This window comes from Homo sapiens, chromosome 3 (genome assembly GCF_000001405.40).
Source record: "Homo sapiens chromosome 3, GRCh38.p14 Primary Assembly".
NCBI classification, from domain to species: Eukaryota; Metazoa; Chordata; class Mammalia; order Primates; family Hominidae; genus Homo; species Homo sapiens.
The window spans coordinates 5,732,849-5,757,943 of NC_000003.12; the positions used below are offsets into that span (position 1 = coordinate 5,732,849).

At 39.5% G+C, this 25,095-nt stretch overlaps 1 long non-coding RNA gene across 1 annotated transcript; it reads left to right on the top strand.

The window, feature by feature from the left end:
- Positions 1–7,748: 7,748 nt before the first annotated feature.
- Positions 7,749–23,104, top strand: LOC105376940 (uncharacterized). The gene is made up of 3 exons (XR_940572.3): positions 7,749–7,912; positions 10,816–10,985; positions 22,687–23,104. It is a non-coding gene; the product is annotated as an uncharacterized LOC105376940 (long non-coding RNA).
- Positions 23,105–25,095: the final 1,991 nt, after the last annotated feature.

The window sequence follows — 25,095 nt, forward strand, 5'->3', positions numbered from 1 at the left end:
CATACATGCGCAATAGCTGATATTTTTAGTGTGCTATTAATATTATTAAATCGTATTATGTATTTTATTTGGTTGATGTGTTATTACACAGTTACCTCTCAGATTTATATATTTAATCTCAAAAATTAACTAGCATTCGTATTTTTTAAAGTGCTAGCAAAATGCCAAAGAAGTAATTAAAAATATAAGTAAACCCAAGCCAAAGGATTTTGAAGGACTTTATGACCTAATACTGGTTTGGGAAAGGGGAGAGGGCTGGGAAGGAAGTTGTTCTAGGAGATTTATTCTACGACTGTATAGGCACACAGCTAATTTACCTTTAGAACTCTTCTGTGTCTTCCTTTAGTGGTAAATGGTTACTGATAAATGAGAAAGAACTGCCACTTATAATTTTAATATATAAATCCCATTTTATTCTAGCTTTCTCTCTTCCCTTTCTTTCATCCTGAACAACTGTGCAAATCTATGGGACGTTTTATGTTTTGTTTCTGAAGTTCATTCATTCATTCAGTCAGTCAGTCAATCAACACGTATTTATTAGGTGCCTGCTGTTCTGGGAACAAAACGGTGAGTGAGGCACAGAGGTTGCCATGGTGGGCAAAACCTGAGAGTCTTAGTTCTTCCGGGACTTGCAATCTAGTGGAGGGAGACGGGCGATTATCAACTAATCACAGTCAGGAGTCTATCATTATACAGCGGTATTAGTGCAATGAAGAAAAGGATCACAGTTTAATGAGAAAGTAAAGGACCCTGGGACTGACTAGGGTCTTGGGCTCAAGGTCAGAGAGGATTCCCTGAGGAGGTAAAGTTTCAGCTGAGAGCATAGGATAAGTAGCAGGTCAAAGTTAAAAGGCTATAGAGAGGTGGTGGGGCATGAGGAAGTGTTCCAGATAGAGGGGGCCCGATTTAAGCTTAGTGACTGGAGAGGATATGGAATGATTGAGGCATTGGAAGAAAGACAGGTGGCTGTAATTCAGAAAGCCAGAGATAGAGTGAAGCTAGACATGGCTAGACAGGGAACTGGGCCCAAAATTATGCAAAGCCTTGAAGGTCATGTCAAGAATTTGGTCTATACCCTAAAAGCAATGGGAGGAAGCTGTGAGGAACTTCATTCCATTCTTTGGCTCTTAATCCTTTCTCCTTTGCATTATTGTCTTTTGTATACATGGTTTGTGGCTCTAATTAGGATATTATGATGACTAGTTTTATTTGTCAGCTTGGCTAAGATATAGTGCCCAGATATTTGACCAAACATTATTCTGAATGTTTCTATGAGGCTGTTTTTAGATGAGACTAACATTTAAATTGATGGAGTAAAGCAGATTGCCTTCTGTAATGTGGGTGGGCCTCATCTAATCAGTTGAAGGCCTGAATAGAACAGAAGACTGAAATTCCCTAAGTAGGATGGAATGTTGCAGCAGATGATACTCAGACTTGAGCTGCAACGTTGGCTTTTCTCAGCTCTCCAGCCTGCTAGCCGTTCCTGCAGACTGAAACGTGCAAGGCTGCATGATCACGTGAGCCAGGTTCTTAAAACAAATCTGTCTGTTTATCTACACAACCTGTTGGTTCTGTTTCTATGGAGAACCCTAAGATAGATATCATTATCTCCTTGAACACAGAGAATATGTTTCACTCATCTTTGCATGTTCCTAGTACCTAGTACTCTGCAAACAGTGACTGCTCAGAAAACTGGCATTTCATGAGACTGTCACATCCCAAAGGATGCTATTTGTACTATGCTTAAAATATAACTTATCAATGCTAAAAAGCTGTTTTCAAAAAATGTGTAAAAATCCCCAGACCTATATAAGTTAAACTGTCTTATTGTATGCATTCTCAGGATACTTAATATACTGATATCTGGTGTGACAAAGATATCATCAAATATTCATAAGCCTTCTTTTAGTTCAGCCTCTTGTGGAACTTGTGTTTTCAGAACTTGCCTTGGGTAGTAGTAGAGAGAACATTCACTGAATCAGAGGGTAAATAATTACCCTTTATCTGGACTGGAATTATATATTTCTGTGTCTGGTTAATACACTGGGGGAAGAAAATGTTTTGTTTTATTTTGTTTTGGATTACTGAAGTTAGGCCAGATAACAAATCCTTTGACTAAAACTTTAGTGAGACAGTCTTTGTTTAAGAGTTTCACCCTACCTAGTATTATATGACATATTCAGGAGATCTAATAACTGAGTGAGAAGTTGCCAAAATGTTTATAGTTAATAGAGGAGAGAGGAAGACAATATCAGCATTACCTAGAACAGAGCCACTCAAAATGTGGTTGATGAGCTTGTATTGGTCTATAAACTGTGTCATGCTAATCTGCACAAAAGTGGATAGGAAGCATGGAGAAACATTTATAACCATTGAACAGAGTAATTTATGTCTGTTGATACAATTTAAAAAATTGGACACGTATTTATGTGCCTTCTTAAATATAATTTTTCTAGTAGTTAATCTTAATTGAGTTTCACAAAATTATTGATCTGTGATGAATTGAAGATTAAAATAATAAAGAAACAAATAACTGGTTAATCACCATAGACTAAGAAGCACTGGCCTAGTCTCACTGAGAAAAGTTTCCTGGGGAAGGGAAACTGCTCAGGGATAAGCCTAGGAGCAATGAATGACATTTTTGAGGAGGGACCACTATGAACAAAGGCCCAGAGACTGCACTGAACGGGTTTGTAGAGGACAATATGAGGTCAGCCTGGGTGGGTGGGCAAGGCAGGGGAAGGAGGGCCCAGGAATCCATTTGCACAACTTTCACGGAGACCGACCCCGTCCCTGTGTTTTTGTCAGACAGCATGGTGCTATAGACAAGCAACATTAGGAGGCTTGGCTAAACTCTGCTACCCTTTGGGAGGTCATTCCAGTTGTGTTCCCATTTCTGTATGAGTTTTACTCGTTCATTTCTAAACAGGAGTGTTAATCTGAAGGTTGATTATTCCTCCAGTGGTTATGAGAGTGTGGTTACTTGGCAGAGACAACTCGAATTAAAGTGTTTACAGTAAACCAAGGCCAATTCAATGTTACTAGTTATCACTTGTTTACAAGATAATACTTCCGTTGCCCTGCCTCTGTACCCCTCCCCTCCAATCATGGGTGAATTTAAGAATATTATTTGATTCGATTCCATCTAGGAAATAGAAGACACTTGTCAAGTTCCTACGCCTGCCGGGTGTGTATTTTTTGCAGAACGTCCCTCATGTTGGGTTATTAAAATGATGGTTTTCCTGGCAAATACATTGCTTAGTTCCCCAGGAGATTTTAGTGGTGATGTTATATGCTCAAAAACAAAAATTCCATCCCGATGAAGAGGATATTTATAAAATTAATATTTTAGAAACTTGGAAAAAGCAACTGGGAGACCAAGTGGGACTAATATATTCATGCAAATGGCAGGTATATATTTTTTAACCTGATACTGTTTTTCTTTAAGTTATTGAAGTGACCATATTCCTAAGCTGAATGGAATTCCTTTTCTGTTTCCTGGTGAATTGTGAATACATAAGGTTTTAGACAAATATGAATCAGGGGGATTAGTTTGCAAAGTACAGATGATGGTGAAAATTGAGGGCTTATTTTAATTGGTTTCTTTTGATTTTGCTTTTGTTGATATCTTAAACAATTTTTCTTTTCTCTTCTTTCCTTTATGATGTGATGTCCTAGTTAGTATTTTTATTTCTTTAATTATTTCATTCAATATTATACCTATAACAAAGTATTGTTCTACTAGAAAGCTATTGAACTGTTGGCTATTCCAGCATAGGCCTGGTCAGTGACCTGGACTGTGAAGATACAAGAATAATTATCATTTCTGGCTGCTCAAGGGAGTGGCCTGGGGAATGGATGCATGGATAGATGAATGGATTCGTTCATTCATTAAAGCAAGCAAGCAAAAATCTGTGTTACATCACAGATTGCTGTTCCCTGCTGCCCCCATGGCTTGCTGAGTTTCTAATTCAGCCAGGCTGGGGTTGGGGCCGGAGATTTTGCATTTCTGACGATGTCCCAGGCGGTGATAATTCTGGCCCTGGGACTGTACTAGAGAACCATGGTCTTAAAGGATTTGAACAGACTGAGTATGACTTTATTACCCAGCACTTAACTAGAAGGTGCCCTCCAAAGCTTGAGAGAAAGACTTTGGAATAAGGGGTGGTATTCAGACAGACAGATCAAGGATCAAAGAGAGACAGAGCAAATGGAGAAGGATGCAGGAGAAAGAATGAGTAGAACTGGAGGCAAGAAAGGGACATGGCATCTTAGCAGGAAGCAAAGATTTTCAGAGCAGAAGAGCAGAGGCATAGAGCGAACGTCCCCCCAGATCACAGGTTTATGTTTCATACTTAGACTTCAAGATGTGTTCCTTCAGAGATGACACCAGTCAGCTATGCTTTGGCTTAAAACTCTTTGTTCTCTGTTTATACAATCAGTATTCCTTCAACACGTGATGCCCTGTACACACAGTGTGCTCAAAATGAGAGCTTTAACATGTCAAAATTATTATTTTCTCATCTCTCTGTATTATGTATTTTTACTCTGGAACAGACACTTTTAAGTGCTGGACATGTTGGAATTGAAAAAAAAAAAAAAAAATCAAGGCCGGGTCTGGTGGCTCATGCCTGTAATCCCAACACTTTGGGTGGCTGAGGTAGGTAGATTACCTGAGGTCAAAAGTTTAAGACCAGCCTGACCAACATGGTGAAACCCCGCCTGTACTAATAATAGAAAAATTAACCGGACGTGTGTTGGCACATACTTGTAATCCCGGCTACTCAGGAGGCTGAGGCAGGAGCATTGCTTGAACCCAGGAGGCAGATGTTGCAGTAAGCTGAGATTGCACCATTGCACTCCAGCCTGGGCAACAAGAGTGAAACTCCATCTCAAAAAAAAAAAAAAAAGAAGAAAAAGCACTTAACTTAGTGAAGGGATCAACAAGCCTTTTCTGCAAAGGACCACATAGTAAATATGTTAGACTTCTGGGCCAAGAGGAAAATGAATTATGTACGTACATAGATAACACTTAAAATGTTACCATTCTTAGCTTGCAGGCTGTACAAAAGCAGGCATTGGGCCACCACAGGCTGATGTTTATCAATCCCTGCTCTAGTGAGAAACACCAACATTAATTAACACACATATAGATATATGACTGTTCATTTTGTTAAGTGCAATAAATAATTCTTTTTTTTTTTTTTTGAGATGGAGTCTTGTTCTGTGGCCAGGCTGGAGTGCAGTGGTGCGATCTTGGCTCACTGCAACCTCTGTCTCCTGGGTTCAGGTGATTCTCCTGCCTCAGCCTCCTGAGTAGCTGGGACTACAGGTACGCACCACCATGCCCAGCTAATTTTTGTATTTTTAATAGAGATAGGGTTTCACCATGTTGGCCAGGATGGTCTCAATCTTCTGATCTCATGATCCACCTGCCTTGGCTTCCCAAAGTGCTGAGATTATAGGTGTGAGCCACTGCGCCCGGCCAATTTTTTTTTTTTTTTGAGATAGAGTCTCACTCTGTCACCCAGGCTGGAGTGCAGTGGCATGATCTTGGCTCTGCAACCTCCACCTCCAGGTTTCAAGCGATTCTCCTGCCTCAGCCTCCTGAGTAGCTGGGATTACATACACGCCACCACGCCCAGCTAATTTTTGTATTTTTGGTAGAGACAGGGGTTCCACCATGTTGGCCAGGCTAGTCTCGAACTCCTGACCTCAGGTGATCTGCCCGCCTCAGCCTCCCAAAGTGCTGGCGTAAGCCACCGAGCCCGGCCATAAATAAATTTTTTTAAATTGGAAATTGGTTCTGTGAGAGAGGGCAAGAGGGGCTGTTATCTAGTTTAGCATATGAGGTCACAGTTGCTTTGAGAAAGGGTCATTTGCATTGAGTCTTCAAGAGAGTTTTGGAGTCAAGGAGTTGAATACTGAGGGGTGGAAGGAGCAGAGTACGTGAAAGAGAAGAACCAAGAGGTGAGGATGGTAAAACTAAAGGGAAGCCATGAGGATGACCAAGGTGGGCTTGGAGAGGAGGCAGAGCCTCTAGTTCATGTTAAAGCACTTTCCATCTTTTCAGAGAAGAGATGTTGCCACCATTGAGAACCTGAGGGGGCAGCACAGGTTGTAAAGTGGGAAGGCTCACTAAAGAGATAACTCATGATTTTTTAGTAAAGGGATAAGGGGAAAATATATTGAGTTAATAACCTGATGGCCTGGTTAACTTCCTGACAGAAGGAAAAATCTCTGTTCTACTAGACTTTGTGTGGTCCACAGGGTGAAAGGGGTAGAATGCAGTGAGGTAAAAGCTACATTTATTTCATGCTTGTTTAAAGCCAGGCACTATGCCTTAAATGTTTAATATCTAAATAATATACTAATATTATTCCTTCAGAGAGGAAGAAATTGAGGCATAGAAAAATTTAGTGAATTTCCCGCCTGAGATTATACCATAGTTTGTAGTAGAGATGGGGTTTATACCTGTCCATTCTGATTCCAGAACTCATGCTATCTTTACAAATATCTTTCTATTTTTTTGTGGGGGGTGGGGGTTGGGGAAAGGAAAAAAAAAAAAACAAGAAACAAGGGGAATGAAAAGATAGGGGAAAATGTGATTTGGTTCTTGCCAAAATCAACAAAAACCTTTTCGCTTTTTGGAAGGAAGACAAAATCCAAGATGCAAGTATCTAACAGATATGTTTTCCCCTCCCCTCCCCTTCCCTCCCCTCCCCTCCCCTCTCCTCTCTCCCTTCCCTTCCCCTCCCCTCCCCTCTCTCCTTTCCCTCCTCCTCCCCTCCCCTCTCTCCCTTCCCTTCCCCTCCCCTTCCCTGTCTCCCTTCCCCTCCCCTCCCCTGTCTCCCTTCCCCTCCCCTCCCCTCTCTCCCTTCCCCTCCTTTCCCCTCTTCCTTGTTCCTATGAGTCTCTGAATCCTTTTCTGTACACAGATGAAGGCTAGCCCACAAGCCGATAAGTGTTCATTGCTCCTGCATAAATAAAATATACGAACATTGTCCTGAAGAAGGAAAAGCTTGCACAGTTCTTGGTTAATAGAGTCCATAGACTCTGAGTAGGACCCAGGCCTGTTGGTGACTTTCCACATTTGTACAAGCTTTTCCCTCTTTCCCTTCCCCTCAGTTTCCTGGCAAACTTCTTCTTTAGACCACCTAGGGTTGGCAAACTTTTTGAGTAATGTGCCAGAAAGGAAACATTTTCATCTTCGTGGGACAGTCTCTGTTGCAACTACTCACCTCTACTGTTGTAATGCAAAAGCAGCCATAGACAGTACATAAACAAATGAATGTGCTGTGTTCCAATAAAACTTTATTTAACAAGAATAAGCAGCAGGTCAGATGGGACTATGGGCTATAGTTTGCTGACATTTCTTCTAGACCAAACATAAATGTTACATCTTAAATCTATGTTGGTAGCATTTATTTGTCGTTCCTCCATGTTTTTTTTTTTTGGCTCAAATCTCTGTAATATATTATCTTTGAAAATCTTTTTGCAAAGGTGTCTTTTCACTCTGTTGTGATCTTTTCTGAGGCAAATACTAACTTTTATTTACCTGTTGTTTACTATGGGACTTGGCAAGTATCTCATTAAAATGTGTTGGTGTTTTGAGTGAGACAGTGTAAAGCTGTACTTTCCAAAAATAGCCAGATCAATATTTCCAATCTACAAGCACTTCTGGAACCCTGATGCTCCCCAGTGAGAGACAGTCTCTTCCGTGTCTCTTCGAACCCAGGTTGGACTTAGTGACTGCTTCAATGAATACAATGTGATAGAAGTCATGCTGCATGATATTGGAGACTAGGTCATATAACTTCCATTTGATGCTCTCTTTCTTTCTCTCTCTTTTAGGACTCACATCCTTGGATCCCAGACTCTTTGATGACAGGAAGGCCAAACTATCTCAAATGTAAAATATGAAGTAGTTTACTAATTTTCTTCAGTTTCTCTTAGCATAGAGGACTGGGGAGTTAAGAAGGGTTCTTAGAAAGCTTCTGTTGAAACTGCCTTTCCTATCTAAGTTTATCTTTTATTCCCATGAGATGAAAGTGAAGAGTAGGGATGTATGTGTGAGAGAAAGAGCAATAAAGAAAGCAGTGTACCACACAAACACACACACACACACACACACACACACACACACACTTATATGTAACTAAGAAGCTTACATGTGAGTTGTCCATTAGGGTTTTCATGAAGAACTTACAGTGAGCCTACACGGAGTTGTCCATACACAGAAGAACTGAGACCCCCCAGCCCCTGTCACTAGTGACAGCTCTCATTAACCTCCTGACATGCAGGCAAATGAGCATTCAGGGCTCCAGGGAGCGACATCCAGCCAGCGGCTTGTTTTCATAAATAAAGTTTTATTGGCACATATTATGTTCATTCATTTACATATGATCAATGGCTTCTACTACCCTGCAATAGCAGAAATGGGTAGTCATGGCAGAGACTATGCCCTGCAAAGCCAAGAATACTTACTCTCTGGCTCTTTACAGAAAAATGTCTTGCCTCCTGTCTCTCAGCCTTCACGTCTTCCATTAAGGTGTGGTAATCTGGAGCAGAGACAACCATGCCTGCTGTGTCTTGAGTTCCTGATTTGCAGAAATCATGAACATAATAAGTAGTTACCCTATAACATGACATTTGACAATAGTTTGTTATGCAATCAGAGTACCTGGAACACAGTTGAATACAGAGCTTGGGAAAACTCAAACTTATGTTTGTTAAAATACCAGAAGATCTAAACCTCCTTTCTTCTTTACCTGTTCCTCCATCCCCCAACACACACCCCTATTCAGACTTTTTGTAGTCTTCAAATTCCAGCTAAGACTAAGGAACATGACTACCTATCTCCACTTTATTGTTTGCAGTATTAAGTTACATTTTCCTTCTAGAGGGAAAATATTAGTTATAAGTGTCCTGATTAACCTTAAGAAATAAGAATATTTTGTCTATATAGGAGAACTATAGTTTCAACTATTGTTTCCAGATCTCTCAAACCATGAAGTCTCATTAAAAATGAAAAAAAAGATAGTCTTTTTTTTTTTTTCTTAATCACTGCGAGGATCTCAAATGGATAAGCAACAACCTCCAATCTCACAGCACTGGTAATTGTGGCTCAGAGTTCATGCAGATGGAGACATCAGTAAAATACCCGGAATCAGGTTCTGTATTTTCTCCGTTTGCCGTTCATCAAAATGAAACGTTTTCATGAAGAGGATTAAAGGCCACAAATAAAATATATTGTAATGCTCCCTTTGAAATATTTAAGGCATTTATTAAAAAAAGGGCAGTTTAAGATGAAAGGTCAGTCAGTGATAATCAATTTCTTTAACATTGATATGATTCTTATTAAACATTTATCATTTGGGTGTCACTTCAGAGGGCTCTGGAAATCATTTTTCATTGTCTACATATCATTTTGCAGTTGTCAACTGCCCAGCAGCAACAAACATTACACCTCAATTCTTCTTCACAGTATAGTATTTATGGACTTATTTTTCTGAACTTCTGGGTTCTGAGAAATTACATAGTGGATAGGCATTTATAGCATGCAATTGTTCACACAGTTTTCTGTAAGTTGGAGAGGGAGTTTTTCTTTGATTACACTTTTAACAAAATATGGAGAAGTTGGATGCAGTTTTCTTATTTTCTTCAGTTTCTCTCAGCATAGAGGACTGGGGAGTTAAGAAGTGTTCTTAGGTAGCTTCTGTTGAACCTGCCTTTCCTATCTAAGTTTATCTTTTATTCCCATGAGATGAAAGTGAAGAGTAGGGATGTGTGTGAGAGAGAAAGAGAAATTAAGAAAGCAACATACAACACACACATACATTTATATGTAACTAAGAAGCTTACATGTGAGTTGTCCATTAGGGTTTTCATGAAGACCTTGCAGTGCCAATATTCTCCTGCTTCTTTCTTTACCCCGATGTTGGGTTATTGATTTGACTTTTAGGGTAATATCAATTAACTCCTGGGGGCAAGGTAGCATTGTGGAGAAGAGCAAGAGCTTTGGTTTCATGTATCACAAACTTTGAATCTTAGCTCTGCTATTTTTTAGCTCCTACCTTTTGGTGAGTTACTTAAATTTTCTAAACCACAGTTTTTATAAACCCTCAATTTCTGTTAAATGGAGATAGTAATGCTTACCTCATAGGGTGGTCATTGTGTGGATTAGATGAGATACAATTATTTTGCATGATGCCTGTGCTTGGCATATAGCAAGCCATGATAAATATTAATAGTTCACATAGTTCTTATTACTACATTTGCTGTCTCTACCAAGGGCTTAGCTATATGGGTAGAAAGTGTTTACTGTTTCAAAGAAACCACTGGAGATGTTCACGTATGGGAGAACTGTTCAAAAATGTTTCTCCTATTTTGTGTTACATTGTCTACATTTTGACACCATTTTAGTGTCAATTCCTTAAAACACACTTTCTGGGATAAACATTAATCAAAGTATGAATGTTACCTGGGAAATGTCACATGTTAAAATTCAGATCCATGGATTTGAAGATCAGATTCACTAACTGTTGTATGGGGCACATCAAATTATCAGAATTGTGTGACCCTGAATGGGATGAATTTTTCCAGGGCAGGAGATGGAGAGAGGAGTACAAAGCAGAAAGGACAAGCCTGGATATTGTGGCACCTGTGTACCTGTATGATAGAGTATTGAAAACTTGGAGGAAAGAGATACCAAGAAAATTTCAACAGTTTACAAATGTCTTGTGAAGCAGGGTGTCGTCAAAAATAGTGTTTCACCTAGCTCCTGTTTAACACGTTTGTGTACCCCTTTCCTAGATGATTTTGGTTCTAACAACCAACCCTCATGGCCTATTCTTGGAGAACTTCCATCAGGGTACTTGAGCCAACTTGTACTCACAAATGCCCAAGAAGTGCCTGGATGACTGTGATGGTTAATTTTCTGTGTGCCGAAGGCAAAGGGAATACAGATTTTGTAGTGGAAGAAAGTAAGTATAAATACCAGCTACAACCATGTGACCAGTTAAGAAATGACTGTAATTATCATCAGTATTTCCTCCTTATTTTGTCATTAATGTTGGTGTATATATATATGATATACATGTGTGTATCTATGCATATATGAGAAAACTTTTCTTACCCCTCTATTCTCCTCTTATATAACATAAGCTGTATTGTATTTATATCATAATATTTAGGTATTATTAATTTTACATCATAATATTAAAGTTTGGGGATATAAAGAGAAGAGTAATCATCTTAATGACTTTGGAGAAGAGTTCAATGTATTTTCAGTTGTACACAGGATAGTTGTATCACGGTAGGCATAATTGGCATAATTAGGATCTTGTTATTGTCTTTATTTGGAGATTATGTATGGTTTAGGGATATGCCTATAGGTGCCAAGTTGAGAAGGGGTGGGCTTGAGATGGTTAAGTTTATGTGTCAACCTGATTAGGCCACAGTGTTCTCAGATATTTGGCTAAACATTATTCTGGGAGTGTCTGTGAGGCTGTTTCTGGATGAGATTAATATTTGAATTGGTGGACGGAGTAAAGCAGATTGCCCTGCCTAGGATGGGTGGACGTCATCCTATCCTTTGAGGCTTCAATAGAGCAAGAAGGCTGGGCAAGGGAGAATTCTCTCTCTCTAATTCAGATAGGATACTTGGTTTTTCCTGTTTCAACTTGGACTCATACTGAAACTTCACCGTTGGCTCTACTGGGTCTCCAGCTCACTGACTGCAGATTTTGGGACTTTTTGATCTTTATAACCACATGAGCCAATTCCTTATAATAAATATTATTTCTGTATATAATATATAATATGATAATTTAATCTATTACCTATCTTCATATCTGTATTTGTCTATCAATCTATCTATCTATCTATCTATCTATCTATCTATCTATCTATCTATTCTGTTTCTCTGGAGAACCCAGACTAATACAATGATCCTTAGCCAAAGACTCACACTTGCTGCCTACTTGGGACAGCTCTGAGCCATAGCTTATATTCCAGAGTTTCCCTGTGAAATCAGGCGAAACATAGCCTCTGAACAATTTTGCATGAGATCTCATTTTTGCTTAACTTTTTCCTCTTCCCTGGGTGAAAAGGAAAAAGTCTGTCTCTCCTGGGAGAGCCCTTCCTCAATAAATCACTTGTACACAAATCCTTGTCTCAGGGTCTGCTTCTGAGGAAACTGACCAGAGGCAGGATGAAAGTAAATACAGTTTTCTGTTACTTAAACAGAGCTGGCAAAATATATTTAGAGAGAGAGAGAGAAAATAGACCAGTTGTTTTGGTGGAGACTTTGAAGGACTAACTCATCATTAAAGGAGATCTTGAAAAAAACAGTGGTTCACCTGTCCTACATAACAAATTTATGGGTGCTTGCACGATAGAACATATAGCAAGGGATAAGGAGGACAGAAGAGATGAGACCAAGAAACACGGATGGTCAAACAAAATTTCCCATGGAATTTTATCCTATATTCCCCCTAGCAGGTATGTCTTTCATTCCATTCTAAGTTATTTGCTGCAATGTCAACCACTTCTTCTTTAGCTTGATGCTGTGAACCTTTGTCTGCTACACACATAGCCCCGTGCTGGGAGAATTGGGGGAAGTAAAACTGGGAGGTAGAGTCTAATTGTAAAGAGTCCTGGAGCAAAAATGCTGCATTTAAGAAATCTGTAAACTGGAATAATTCATTAGAATCAGGAATTTGCAGCCAGTGATGATTATGAGAAATATATGTACCATCTCCCAAATTTCCAAAGCATTTTAGGGAGTAGATGGATGTCCCATTATTTAATAGATAGATAGAACCCTGAGCGATTTTATTTCAATTGGGAAGGACTGAGTGAACCCAGCTGACATCTGGCTCTGCTTGCTTCTCTATTACATTGAATGGTCTATAGTTAGCTTTGCAGGAAGCAAATATTTCTAGTTCTTTAACTCCAAAGTGTTTCTTTCCATTTATGTTTTTCATTGGCATAACCTGAGAAAAAGGGCTAAAAACAGGGCAGAACAGAAAATTCATTTATTGACAGCCTATGGGGGGCAGAAGAGGAGGGTGCCTGAAAATATCTCCTTTCACATGCAGGAGAAAAAAAGAATGGATTTAATTACCATGATTAGAACCAATTAAGTACCTAATTCTGCTCCTGAGAGCTAAAGGCCATTTGAGGGATTGCTAACTTGAAACACTTATAAACCAGGGTAGAAAGGATAACCTCCCCTAGACAATGAATATCCACCATTTTGGAAAAGATACTGAGAGAGAGGTGTCGGAGTCTATCGGAAAGAATGTCCCCAGGGTCCATGAATACTCCTAAAATTGGGAACACTGTTCATTTTCTCATTCCAGAATCTTCATTTGACCATTGGACAGTTTCTCTTCTCCAACCTACCTTATATGGTTTTTATGAGAATTAAATTAAAGAATGAGTGGGTAGATGAACCCTACATTATAGTTGCCCAAAGTGGGGGTCAGAGGACAGTTTCCAATGGTATTGCTGATCCTTACTAGTCCAAAAGCTTGGCTATAGACCTTTCTTTAGCTCTATTTTTTTTCCCTCCCCAAATTCTGTTCTTGTCTGTGTCATAAATTAGCTTACTCTCCTTCTGAAGGAATATCTATATCTGTGTTCATAGTAATATATTTTAATTGTTGCATAGTCTACAAATTTCTTAAAAAACAGACCACAGAAATCTAAGCATAGATTAATAATTACTAAGTGCACATGACTGAAATTTATTGAAGACTAACATCTTTGGGTTATGTGAGAAACGTTTGATACACTGTGAACACCTCTTATCAGAGAACATGTAGCTCATATATTATCCCCATCTGTACGCCAGTAAAGAACACGGCTAACTAATCATGGCATTCTTTCTCACTGTGTCTAAATGTAGACACAGAATCCTCAACGCTGGACATCACAAGAAAATGATCAGAGTTGGTGTGTGAGCAGAGCCTGTTTGCAATTTCTCCTCTAAAATCTGTCAACTCTTATTTTTCCTTCTTTTAATTATTTTTTCTAGCCACTAGACAACCAGGTATGTCAACTCTTTTTTTCTTTCTTTCAACTTTGAAGTTCTGGGGTATGTGTACAGGATGTACAGGTTTGTTTCCTAGGTAAATGTGTGTGTTGGTGGTTTGCTGCACTAATCAACCCAACGAGTATGTTTTTGAGTTCTTGCTCACATGACAGCTAGCTAAGAGTATTTCACAGCAAGGTGAAGACAGGCAATGAGATAACTGTTGCCTTGAGATGGGGTGAAAAGTTGTGAATTATTGTATAATGAGACGATGCTCAAAGGGCAAATGGGATTGTAAAGGGAAAAGAGGAAGTTCAGGAAAACAACCTTCCATTACTTCTTTCTTTAGAGCTGCACTGTCCAATATGGTAGCACCAGGCATAGGTGGCTACTGAGAATTTGAAATGTAGATAGCCTCAGTTGAGAAGTGCTATAGGTGTCACATATAACACTGGATTTTGAAGACAGAAAAAATAAGGTAAAGTGGTTTATTAGTATTTTTTGTATTAATTACATATTGAAATCACGAGTTTGGTTATATTGGGATAAGTAAAATATAGTATTAAGCTTAATTTCACCCGTTTCTCTTTGCTTTTAAAAAATGTGACTACTAGAAAATTAAAATTACACATGTCTTTCCTTGTGTTTTCATTGGATAGCTCTGATCTAGGGCATGGGTTTTTGCTTCGGTTCCAATACCTGTAAAAGTATCCATGTATAGAGTTTTAGAAGACTGGGAAATCTCTGAAATTATATGCCCCATGTTATATGCATCTACATATGTGAATTTTTCTGAAAGAGTATCAGTAACTTTTGATCAGAATTTGTGATACAGAACAAGGGTAGTCACCATTGGTCTAGAGTCTTTCATAGAAGGGTATGAGACCTTAAAGTGGAATTTTAGAAGGTAAAATGCAAGACCTTTCCTCACTTCTGAAATCCTCGGAGAAGAAATCTAGGATTCATTATCACAGGGTTGAAACTATATCTAGGTAAAGGCAGTGGTTGGGTACCTTATTCACCATCTTATTCCCAGCATCTGACATGCAGTGTTGGCATCCTCCAAAAATTTTGTCATTTAATGTCTTTGAGATCATCACCTATGAAAATTTATAGGTCATTATTTTCTGCATAGATACTAAACATATTTTTGGAGAAAAAATGACAACTTGGAACTCATTTGGAAAATGTATTTGCATAGGTGGATTCTCTCAAATCTAAGGATTTGAAACAATGATATGAAAGCAAGTAGTTTAATTGCAAGGCAACCCAGGAAGCACCCGTAGGGAAGTGGAGAAGTAAGGCAAGGACAAAAGGAAAGCAAGTTCAAGGTAGATTAATGAGCAGGTTATTGCTGTTGGTTCTTTGGGAGACTACATAGATCATGTCTCAGAGTTGTCCCATGTGAAGGGCGAGGAAGCCATCAACTCTTATGTGTCATGGGTTGGAGGCCATTTCTGGGTCAGAAATTTCCCAGATCTTCTATCTTCCTGGGGTGAGGGCTGAGGGGTCCCTTCTACCAGCCAAGGAAAGCACTCAAGCTTGAGATGTGGCCACATGCAATCAGAGGCAGTCCATAGGTTTGGAGAGGGTGAGTGTTAAGGGAGTGTAGGCAGGATACCAACAACTTAAGCTAAGTGTCGCATGGAGTGCTGTGGCTAGAAGTCACTCTTTAGTTTTGTAGCAGTAAACAGGACAGATGTGTTTATTATAAGATAATGGTCCCAATCCAGTAGACGCAGAAAACTGTGCATATAAGAATTTAATGAAGATGGCAGTCTGCTTTCTGTGGATAAAAGAAAATTCTAAATTTATACCACAGGCTTGTTTGCATATAGACCCATCCCAACTAACATTGTTTTTCAAGTATTGTAATATGAATGTGTACTCGTAAGAAAATGGATCTTTGAGTGTTGTTGAAAAACCATTTGAAAAGCTGTAATTATTGTGAAACAATTTGGCAAGGGTAAGGTTTGTTGGTAGAGATGAAAAGCAGTTTTGAGGCCAAGAGTTTGCTATTTTCCCACAAACAAGCTTAATGGAAAACACAATTATTTCCTCTTCTTGGCCAACTTAAAATGTGTAAATGTTCTCTACAAGCAGTAAGTGCAAATTTTGTCCCATTAATATAGATGAAGGCGGTCTGTTTCTAGTATTGACAACACCAAACTTTTAAAGTATTTTAAGAAGAACTATAATGCATATCAAACTGGAGGGGAAAAAAAGTCATCCGATAGATCAATAGATTACAATGTTTATTCTTTCAATTCTATTCTCCATTAGAAATGCTCAAGTATTAGGATAAAAATGGTATATAAGTAAAACAGTTTTCACTTTGTCTATGAGAAATTTGAAGGGAAGTGTGTATCAACTTTTTTTTTTTACCTTAGAGAAATATATAGCTGTCCTTTATAAAGTTTATTTTATTCATTTTCAGGAACACTCTGGCCCTCATCTCCTAAAGGCAAAAACATGATATAGATGAGCTTGAGCTCTGCTATAAACAGGGCTATTCAAACTTTTGAATTGGCTGACCTCCAGCACTGCATTTGTGGGAGGCAATGGGGCAGGACAATAGAAAGAAAATAACCAATAGCATTTTATTCTATTTCTAATTTATTTTCCCATTAACAAATTATAAAACATAATTACTCAAGTAGTATAACCTATTCATTCAAATTAGAATGTCTGGAAATGTTCTGTTTCCCTTTTTTTAAGTGAGGTTTTACTGGAGAACAGCTAGAAATATCTACATAGTGTTTTTGAAACTATGTAAACTATTATAACGAGGTTGCCCTCCCTATACAAATTCAAAATCTATAGCCTTTTCTGCAGGGTTTACAGGCTAGTTCCTACCTGTCTCTAGCTTCACCACATGACTGCCTTGTCTTTCTGACTGTACTTCAGCTGCCTGGACCTTCCCTTCTTCTCTATCACCCCAAACACTTTCTCTCCTCAAGGTCTGGGTGTGCTGTGCCCTCTGATTGGAATGCCCTCTCCTGTTACCTCCCGCACATCCTTGCTACTTATCTTCCTATTTATCTGCCCTTCCCAGCTGACCCCTGTCATCTGCTGGAGCACCCTTCACTTTTTACTCATTGTGCTTAAATACCATTGTGGTTTTTATAGTTATTCAAGGGCTAATTTATTTATTGTTTGGCTTTTTCACCTCAACCATGACTGTTCAAAATTCATCCTATGATACAACAGTCAACATATAGCAGGTATTTAATATGTTTTTGGTGAATAAATGAGTAAGTGTATGACTCGAGATGCTGATCCATTTGCCTTCTTGGTGGTTTCTATGTCATTATGACTTTTCTTTTGACTTAAACATGGTATCTCCCCTGTAAGGTTAAGGGTTGAGCAATTATACCAAATCATAAAGTGCTGGATTTGTTCATTAGGGAAAGTCCCGTAGGGTTTTCCTTGAGATCTATCTTTGCTGTTTACATCAGCGTCTGAATTCCTCATTTTGTAATTGTTCAAATATCTTGTTTCACTTTGTCTCCATGTGGGCACTGCTGTACCATGCTTATCTGGCACAAAATGTTCATCACACACTATTTGTTGAATAAATGAATGAATGAAGAGAATGCAATCAGAAATGTTCCTTTCCAAATGTATATATCATTGATGGACTGGGCTATCTTCTGGGAAATTTGCAAGTTTTAGATTGGATCAAATAATGGATCACTCATTTACTTTGATGTCTTCTGAGACAAAGAGTTCATGAAGGGAGTTTGCTTCATGGGCTTATGCTTCAGGGGCCTGAGATGTCCAACCTGACTGACATCAGTGCTTTAGAGATGCAAGTGCAACCAGGATGCCTAGTAGGACAATCGGCTGGGGGAAATCACTAGGGCAGAGTGAGGATGAGCTGCCATTGACTTTAATGAAAGAGACAATCTCTATGGGAAATTCAGGTCAGATGGAAATGACCCACACTGAGCCTGTGTAGATTTCTATCATGACAACCTTCTGTTATATACCATCTCTTCCCTTTTTAATGTGAGAGCCATGGTTAATTGTTGTCTTTCCACTTCTTGGCTCTTTACCTTGTCTGCTATAGGACACTGAGAGTAATTACTTGAAAGAATTCCTTTAGTGCAATCCAGAATCCTCAGGCATCTGAGAAACTTTTCTTAAAAATTTTAACTCAGCAAAAAGTTAGAAGTTTTTTTTTTTTTCCTGACAAAGCATTTTTTAGATCACCCTAAAATATTTGGATAATGCAGGCAGTGGCACTTCACTTCTGCTAGGAATAGGATCTGCTCCATAGCAATGTCTATATATCCATTCATTAATTAATGTATCATATGTGTGTCCAGACTGTATTGATAAGGATATGTTTTAGATAAAATAATGGCTATAGAGACAACACTGAATCATGTTTTTGGTTTTCTGCTCTGATACCCTCCTTTCTTGTGGCAAGGTCTGTTTATCCTTCAATTCCATCTTACAGCTTTGTTTGCTGCCACCTCCTTAGTGCAAGCCACCATCATCCCTCATCAAGACTACTCTAACAGCCATCTGATTACTCTCATCCATCTGTGCCTCTCTCTAAGCTGCTGTTCTCGGCAACTAGATCCGGAGGGACACTTTCAAATCTCAAATTCTCTCATGTCATTTTCTTTGTTTAAAACATTTCCAAGGCTTTCCATTTTTCTTAGAATACATTTAACGGACCAGTCTCTCCAGCCACATGGTTCACTGGGCATCTTGTTGCCCTCCATGTTTACCCATACAAACTGTCTTTCTACCACAGATGCTTTGTAAATGCTGTTCCTTCTGCCTAGAATGCCCTTTCCTCCCTCCCTCCCATCTTCACCTAGTTTACTCCTATTCACCCTTCAGATTGTAACTTAGCCATCAGTTGCCTGTTTAGTACCCTGGTTAATTTTATGCGTCAACTTGACGGGCCTTGGGGTGCCCCGGCATTTGGTCAAACATTATTTTGGGTGTGTCTGTGAGGGTGTTTCCGGATGAGATTAACATTTGAATCAATAAACTGAGTAAAGCAGATCTGGCATTCCCTAATATGGGTGGGTCTAATCCAGTCAACTGAAGATGTGAATAGAACACGACAAGTGAGAAGGAACTCCTCCTGTTTGAGCTGGGACGTTTGGTTTCATCTGGTCTTAGGACTTTGACTAAAACACTGGCTTTTCTTGGGTCTTGAGCCTGCCAGCTTTCAGACGGGAACTTATATCATTGGCTCTCCTTGTTCTCAGACTTTGGGACTCAGACGGGCGCTACTACGTATTGACTCTCCTGGATCTCCAGCTTGAGGACGGCAGAACTGAGAACTTCTCAGCCTCCTTAGTTGGATGAACCAATTGCTTATAATAGATCTCTGGAGAACCCTCACTAATACAACCCACCTTCTCACATACACACACTTTTATCCACTCTTCTAGAGAAGTACTTTGTAGGACATACATATTTGACCTTTTACATCTATTTGTGTGATTATTTAATGAAGTCTCTCTCTCCATTACAGTGACTGTCCCAAATGGGCAGAGACAGGGACTTTTCTGAGATTTTACTAGAGTGTAGCACATAGCACTGTACCAGGCACATATTTGATGATGAGACAATGACATTACCTCCCACAGGTAAGACCTAGGCCATTGTGGGATATAGAATACACCTTTTCCTAAAGGACTTTTCATGGGATCTTAGTTCAACTGCACCAAGTTAACTTCCTTTTTGTCTTGTCTGATTGAATTTCCCAAATCAAGCTACTTAGATTCTGCCATGTTTGTGACCTGGTTTCCATTTATAATATTTCTTTGCTGTTCCAGGGTCTCTGCCTTGATAGTCTGCAGTGCATCCCATGAACTCAGTATGGAGAAGTTGCCTTGTCCCCATCAATCCAATGGAGTCCATTCATGTCTCCAAACCTTGGCTTAATGATTGTATCCCTGCTGTCTGTTATAGGAACATTTTTCCCTGACCACCCTATCTGTCACCTCTTGTTAGACCTCCCTTTCACTAACCACAGCCTGAACTCTTACCTGCTGCCATACTCTCAGAAAATCATACCAAGCCTATTAGCTCAATTTCCTCTAGCTTCCATTACCAAAACCAGGGTTTTCAAATACATGGTCTCTTCTGGGAAATAAATCCCTTTGCCAACCTGGAAATGCCCAAGATGCCCTAGTTTCAAAATACAAACTCGAAATGTTTCAAAATATGCTTCAAATTGTTTTTCTTTTTTTTTTTTTTTTGAGACGGAGTCTCACTCTGTCACCAGGCTGGAGTACAGTAGTGTGATCTCGGCTCACTGCAATCTCTGCCTCCCAGGTTCAAGTGATTCTCCTGCCTCAACCTCCCAAGTAGCTGGAATTACAGGCACGTACCACCACACCCAGCTAATTTTTAAAAATATTTTTAGTACAGAAGGGGTTTCACCATGTTGGCCAGGATGGTCTTGATCTCCTGACCTTGTGATCTGCCTGCCTCAGCCTCCCAAAGTGCTGGGATTACAGGCGCCCAGACTCAAGTTCTTCTATCACATTTTAACAGTTTCTCTGCAGGTCAACCTGACATTCATTTGGACTCATCCAAAAAGAACAGCATGTTCCCTTTGATGTCTGCATTTTCCAGAATAAATGACTTTCTCTCCCTTAATTTCTACTTTTAGAATCTTAATGAGCATTGAGTTTTGGAGACAGTGACCTTGTTTTCAAGTGTAGGAATTAATTACTTTAAAAATGTCACTGTTTAAAGGAATATCAGCACCCTGTTCTCACTCATGAATTATCACCACATAAAATCTCACAAAGATTATATGAATCTCTTCCAACAAAATGGTTTGCCTTTTTATGTGCAGAGGATGGTCCTGGGACAATTGCAACAAAATCATTTGGGTGGGGAGAGGTGATTATTACAAATACATAATCCAGGTCCCCACTGCAGACCAACAAACCGGAATCTATAGGATCCTTAGAGCTGCTGCTGCTGCTTTATTTTTTTGAGGCAGTTTTACTCTGTCACCCAGGCTGGAGTGCAGTGGCTCAATCTTGGTTCACTGCAACCTCTGCCTCCTAGGCTCAAATGATTCTCCTGCCTCACCCTCTCGAGTAGCTGGGATTACAGGTGTACGCTACCATGCCCGCCTAATTTTTGTATTTTTAGCAGAGACAGGTTTTCACCATATTTGCCAGGCTGGTCTCGAACTCCTGACCTCAAGTGATCCACCGGCCTTGGCTTCCCAAACTGCTGGGATTACAAGTGTGAGCCACCATGCCCAGTGGAGTTTGCATTTTAAACAAGGTAGTCCAATTAGTCTTAGATACATTAAAGCTGAAAAAAAAAAAAACCACAACATTTTTCCTTGAGTACTGTCAGAAAAAAAAAAAAAAAAAAAAGCTGGCACCCTGTCATATATCTGTTTGTTTATGTACTATCCTGATATAGTAAGTGTGTTATAAATGATACCTCAAAAACGGAAATTTTAAAAGGGTAGAGAAAGGATATATATAAACAGAGTTATATTTGCTTGCCATATTACACAGGGGGTCATTCTGCATACCCCACAGGCTGTAAGCACTCTACTTTGAAAACTAATGTTTTATAGGATGCAGATTATTACGTTTACCTCTAAGATAGACGTGTTCTATTCTAGCAGAGAATAAATACTAGCTGAGATGGGTTACAGGATAAATCTTGTTGAAGGTGATAAGGGGAGATCTAGGTGCGAGGAACTTGAAGGAAGGATTCTGGGTGTGCAAGAGACAGTTTGAGGGCATTGAGACCCAACTTAGTGTGTGGGGGGAGTCAGAGGTGGCACAGGGAAGCAATTCTGAGAGGTGCATTGTTTCTGAAGGACAGGGGAGGGCCACCAGACTGCTTCTTGCAGAACTGAGAATTGTATGCTGTCTCATGTATATTCTCTCTCTTTCCTGTTCCCTGTATTGTGCTGCTCAAAGTGTCAGTGGTCAGAGGCCCAGGGCCAAACCACAAACTGTTGTCCCAGTGGCCCATGTCAAGATAAGTGTAGAAATCGAGAGCGTTTAGGCATTTTTAGAGCAATTTGCCCTTGCTGTGACATCTAGTAATTAGTATTTTTGTGTGTTGGCAGAAGTATTGGTCTGCTATAAATTGGACATTTAAAAATTTGTGAAATAAGCCAGACACAGAAAAATATTGCAGGATCTCATTTAGTGGAATGTAAAAAATAAATAAAAAAAAAAAAGTCAAACCACACATAGAGAATAAAACAATAGTTACCAGAATGTGGGGGAGGGGAAGAAACAGAAAGATGTAAGTCAAAGAATACAAAGTAGCAGATGTATAGGATGAAGAAGTAGAAAGAGCTAATGTAAAACATGAGGACTATAGTCGATAATGGTGTATTGTAGTCACGATTTCTGCTAAATGAGAAGATTAAAGGGGCTATTGCCCCGGGGTAAAAATGGGTATCTGTATGAAATAATGGATATGTTAATTTGTTCCACTATAATCATTTTACTACATATATAACATCATGTTGTATACTTTAAACATACACAATAAAATTTATTTAAAAAACATAGACTGTTTTTCTATAAAATTGTGAACTGGTCTTTAACTCTAGATAGTTTTTGAAGCACTGTTCCATATGATGCGTAGGCTGAATTCTCCCACCTTTGCTTCAGTCCTAGGGCCCAGGAGCTGCAATGGGCCATTCTCATCTGAAGGAATTGCCTCAGCTTGTTAGAGGACTGGCATGAAAGGAACAATCGTGATAGTGGGCATAACACATAAACCCTCTGGGACTCCCTTTGGTCATCCACAAATGGCAGTAAAGAGATGAGCGCCTCCTTGTTCTCACTCACAGGTGGGAATTGAACAATGAGAACACTTGGACACAGGGTAGGGAACATCACACACTGGAGCCTGTGGCAGGGCGGTGGGGTGGTCTGAGGGAGGGATAGCTTTAGGAGAAATACCTAATGGAAATGACGAGCTGATGGGTGCAGCAAACCAACATGGCACATGTATACCTATGCAACAAACCTGCATGTTGTGTACATGTACCCTAGAACTTAAAGTATTATAATAAAAAAAAAGAAATGAGCGCCTCCTTTACTGGATACAGCTGCTACTTTCTTAGGAAAGTTAGGCTTACAACTAAGGAGGCAGATATCCCAACTGTTAGCATCCAGGAGATGTTTAAAGAGCTTAATAGTCACATTTTTGTTGCACCACAGCCTGAGCTTCTAGAAGCTTCTTTTCCTGAATTTCTCCCTAATTACAACCTGCTTACCTGGCTACAGGGCAGAGAAGGCCAGGATGATAAAGCTATTGGGGTTGCTAAATTTAGAATCTAAGAGCATTGTGTCAGATCTCAGCTTGGTGACCTCCTAGCTAGTGACACAACTTCTCTGAACCTCAGCTTTTTAATTTTACAATGGGCATAGTGATTTCTATCTAAAACGTTTTAGTGGGGGAATAAATGTGTTTATTTTTATAAAGCACTTAGCTCTGTGAAAATCTGTAGAACATTTAAAGTGCATTGTACTGTCATTATCATGCTTTTTATTTATTCAGTAAATAGTTGAGCAAGTACAATCTGCTGGGAATTGTACTCATTCCTGAGGGAGCCATAATGAGAAATCAAGCATCATACTGTACCTAAGAAATTTATGATCTAGGTGACCTCAATACAACTCATTTCCAACACCTTCACGTTCCTAACGAGACTGTAAATCCTGTGTGGTCAGGAAACACATCTGATTCATCTCTGAATCTGCAGTGGGTAGCCTAGTGTGGGCCTGTGGAAAGTACTCAAGAAATTCACGTGGAACAGAATGCCATCATCTTCCAAGTCTTGGTTTGACTTGATACAAGGGTTTAAAAACAAGTGTTTATTTAGGAAATGATCCCAAGTAACAGCCATCGGGGTGTGGAGGAGTGTGAGAGAACAGGGAAAGGAGCCATTTAGGGATGTTTTATCTATAGCACACTAGAACCTAATCCTGTTGGGGACATCTTGGGAGATACAGCAGTGAGAGAGAACTGGAATATTTATCCATCAACTACCATTGGTTGAGAGCTTCTTGGGGAGGAACATTAATCTAGCATTTTTGCCCTGCCTTTATGGCTGCAGGAAAGTCTCTGGCACCAAATCACAGAGGCTGGCAGTTGAAAGTCAGCCTGCTTGCATGGCAATGGTAGGCACCATGAGGATATGGGTGGGACACACATCTTCACTCCATTTCTCAGCTCAAGTCTACCACCCGGGCCGGTTTTCCCAGATTCCCAGAAATCTGTCTTGCTCAGTGTTGTCCCCCTCCTCCACACTGGGAATATCCATAACACACTCATGCCTATACTTGTCTTCTCCCAGCACTCCAGCTTATACTGATTCTTTCTTCTTCTCAGTTCCTTGTTCATTTATTTATTAATATTTTTAAATAGCTCTCCCTTTGGCACAGACCCGCACAAAGTTATTTCAATGCTGTATGTGGGTGTCTCACCTTCCCACATCCGTGTGAACTCCTGAGGACAGATACCATGAGTTATTCATTTTCTGTTCTTGCCACATTGCCCACAACCAGAAAGTCTGCAAGAAATTAAACTTAGGGCTGAATTTAACTTTGCGATGAAAGACTGGTGATCTGTGCTTCTCAGCTTCTGCTTTTTCAGCCACATTTTCTGCTCTGACTTGACTAAGCTGACAATTTGCAATTTTATTGATTCTAAAGTATTTTGATGAGAATCATGACTGCCACAGCCACAGCGGGTAGCTGTCATTTATTCAGCACATATGTGCTTCGCATTGTGCACTTAATATATTCTCTCATGTGATCCTCATAACAAAGCTAGTGTCATCATTTTACCGATGGGAAAACCGAATCTAAATAATCAAATGACTTACCTAAGATCATATAATTAGCAGAAGGGCAATAATTTAAACTCAGGACTAACCTAGAATTCTAGACTTTTAACTATTGTACTATATGTCTCCCAAATATAAGAAACAGTAAGAAATACTGAAAATAACCAATTCATTATTTCATTCCCCTATCAGTTCAACTGTCCAACTAAGAAGTATCCAAATT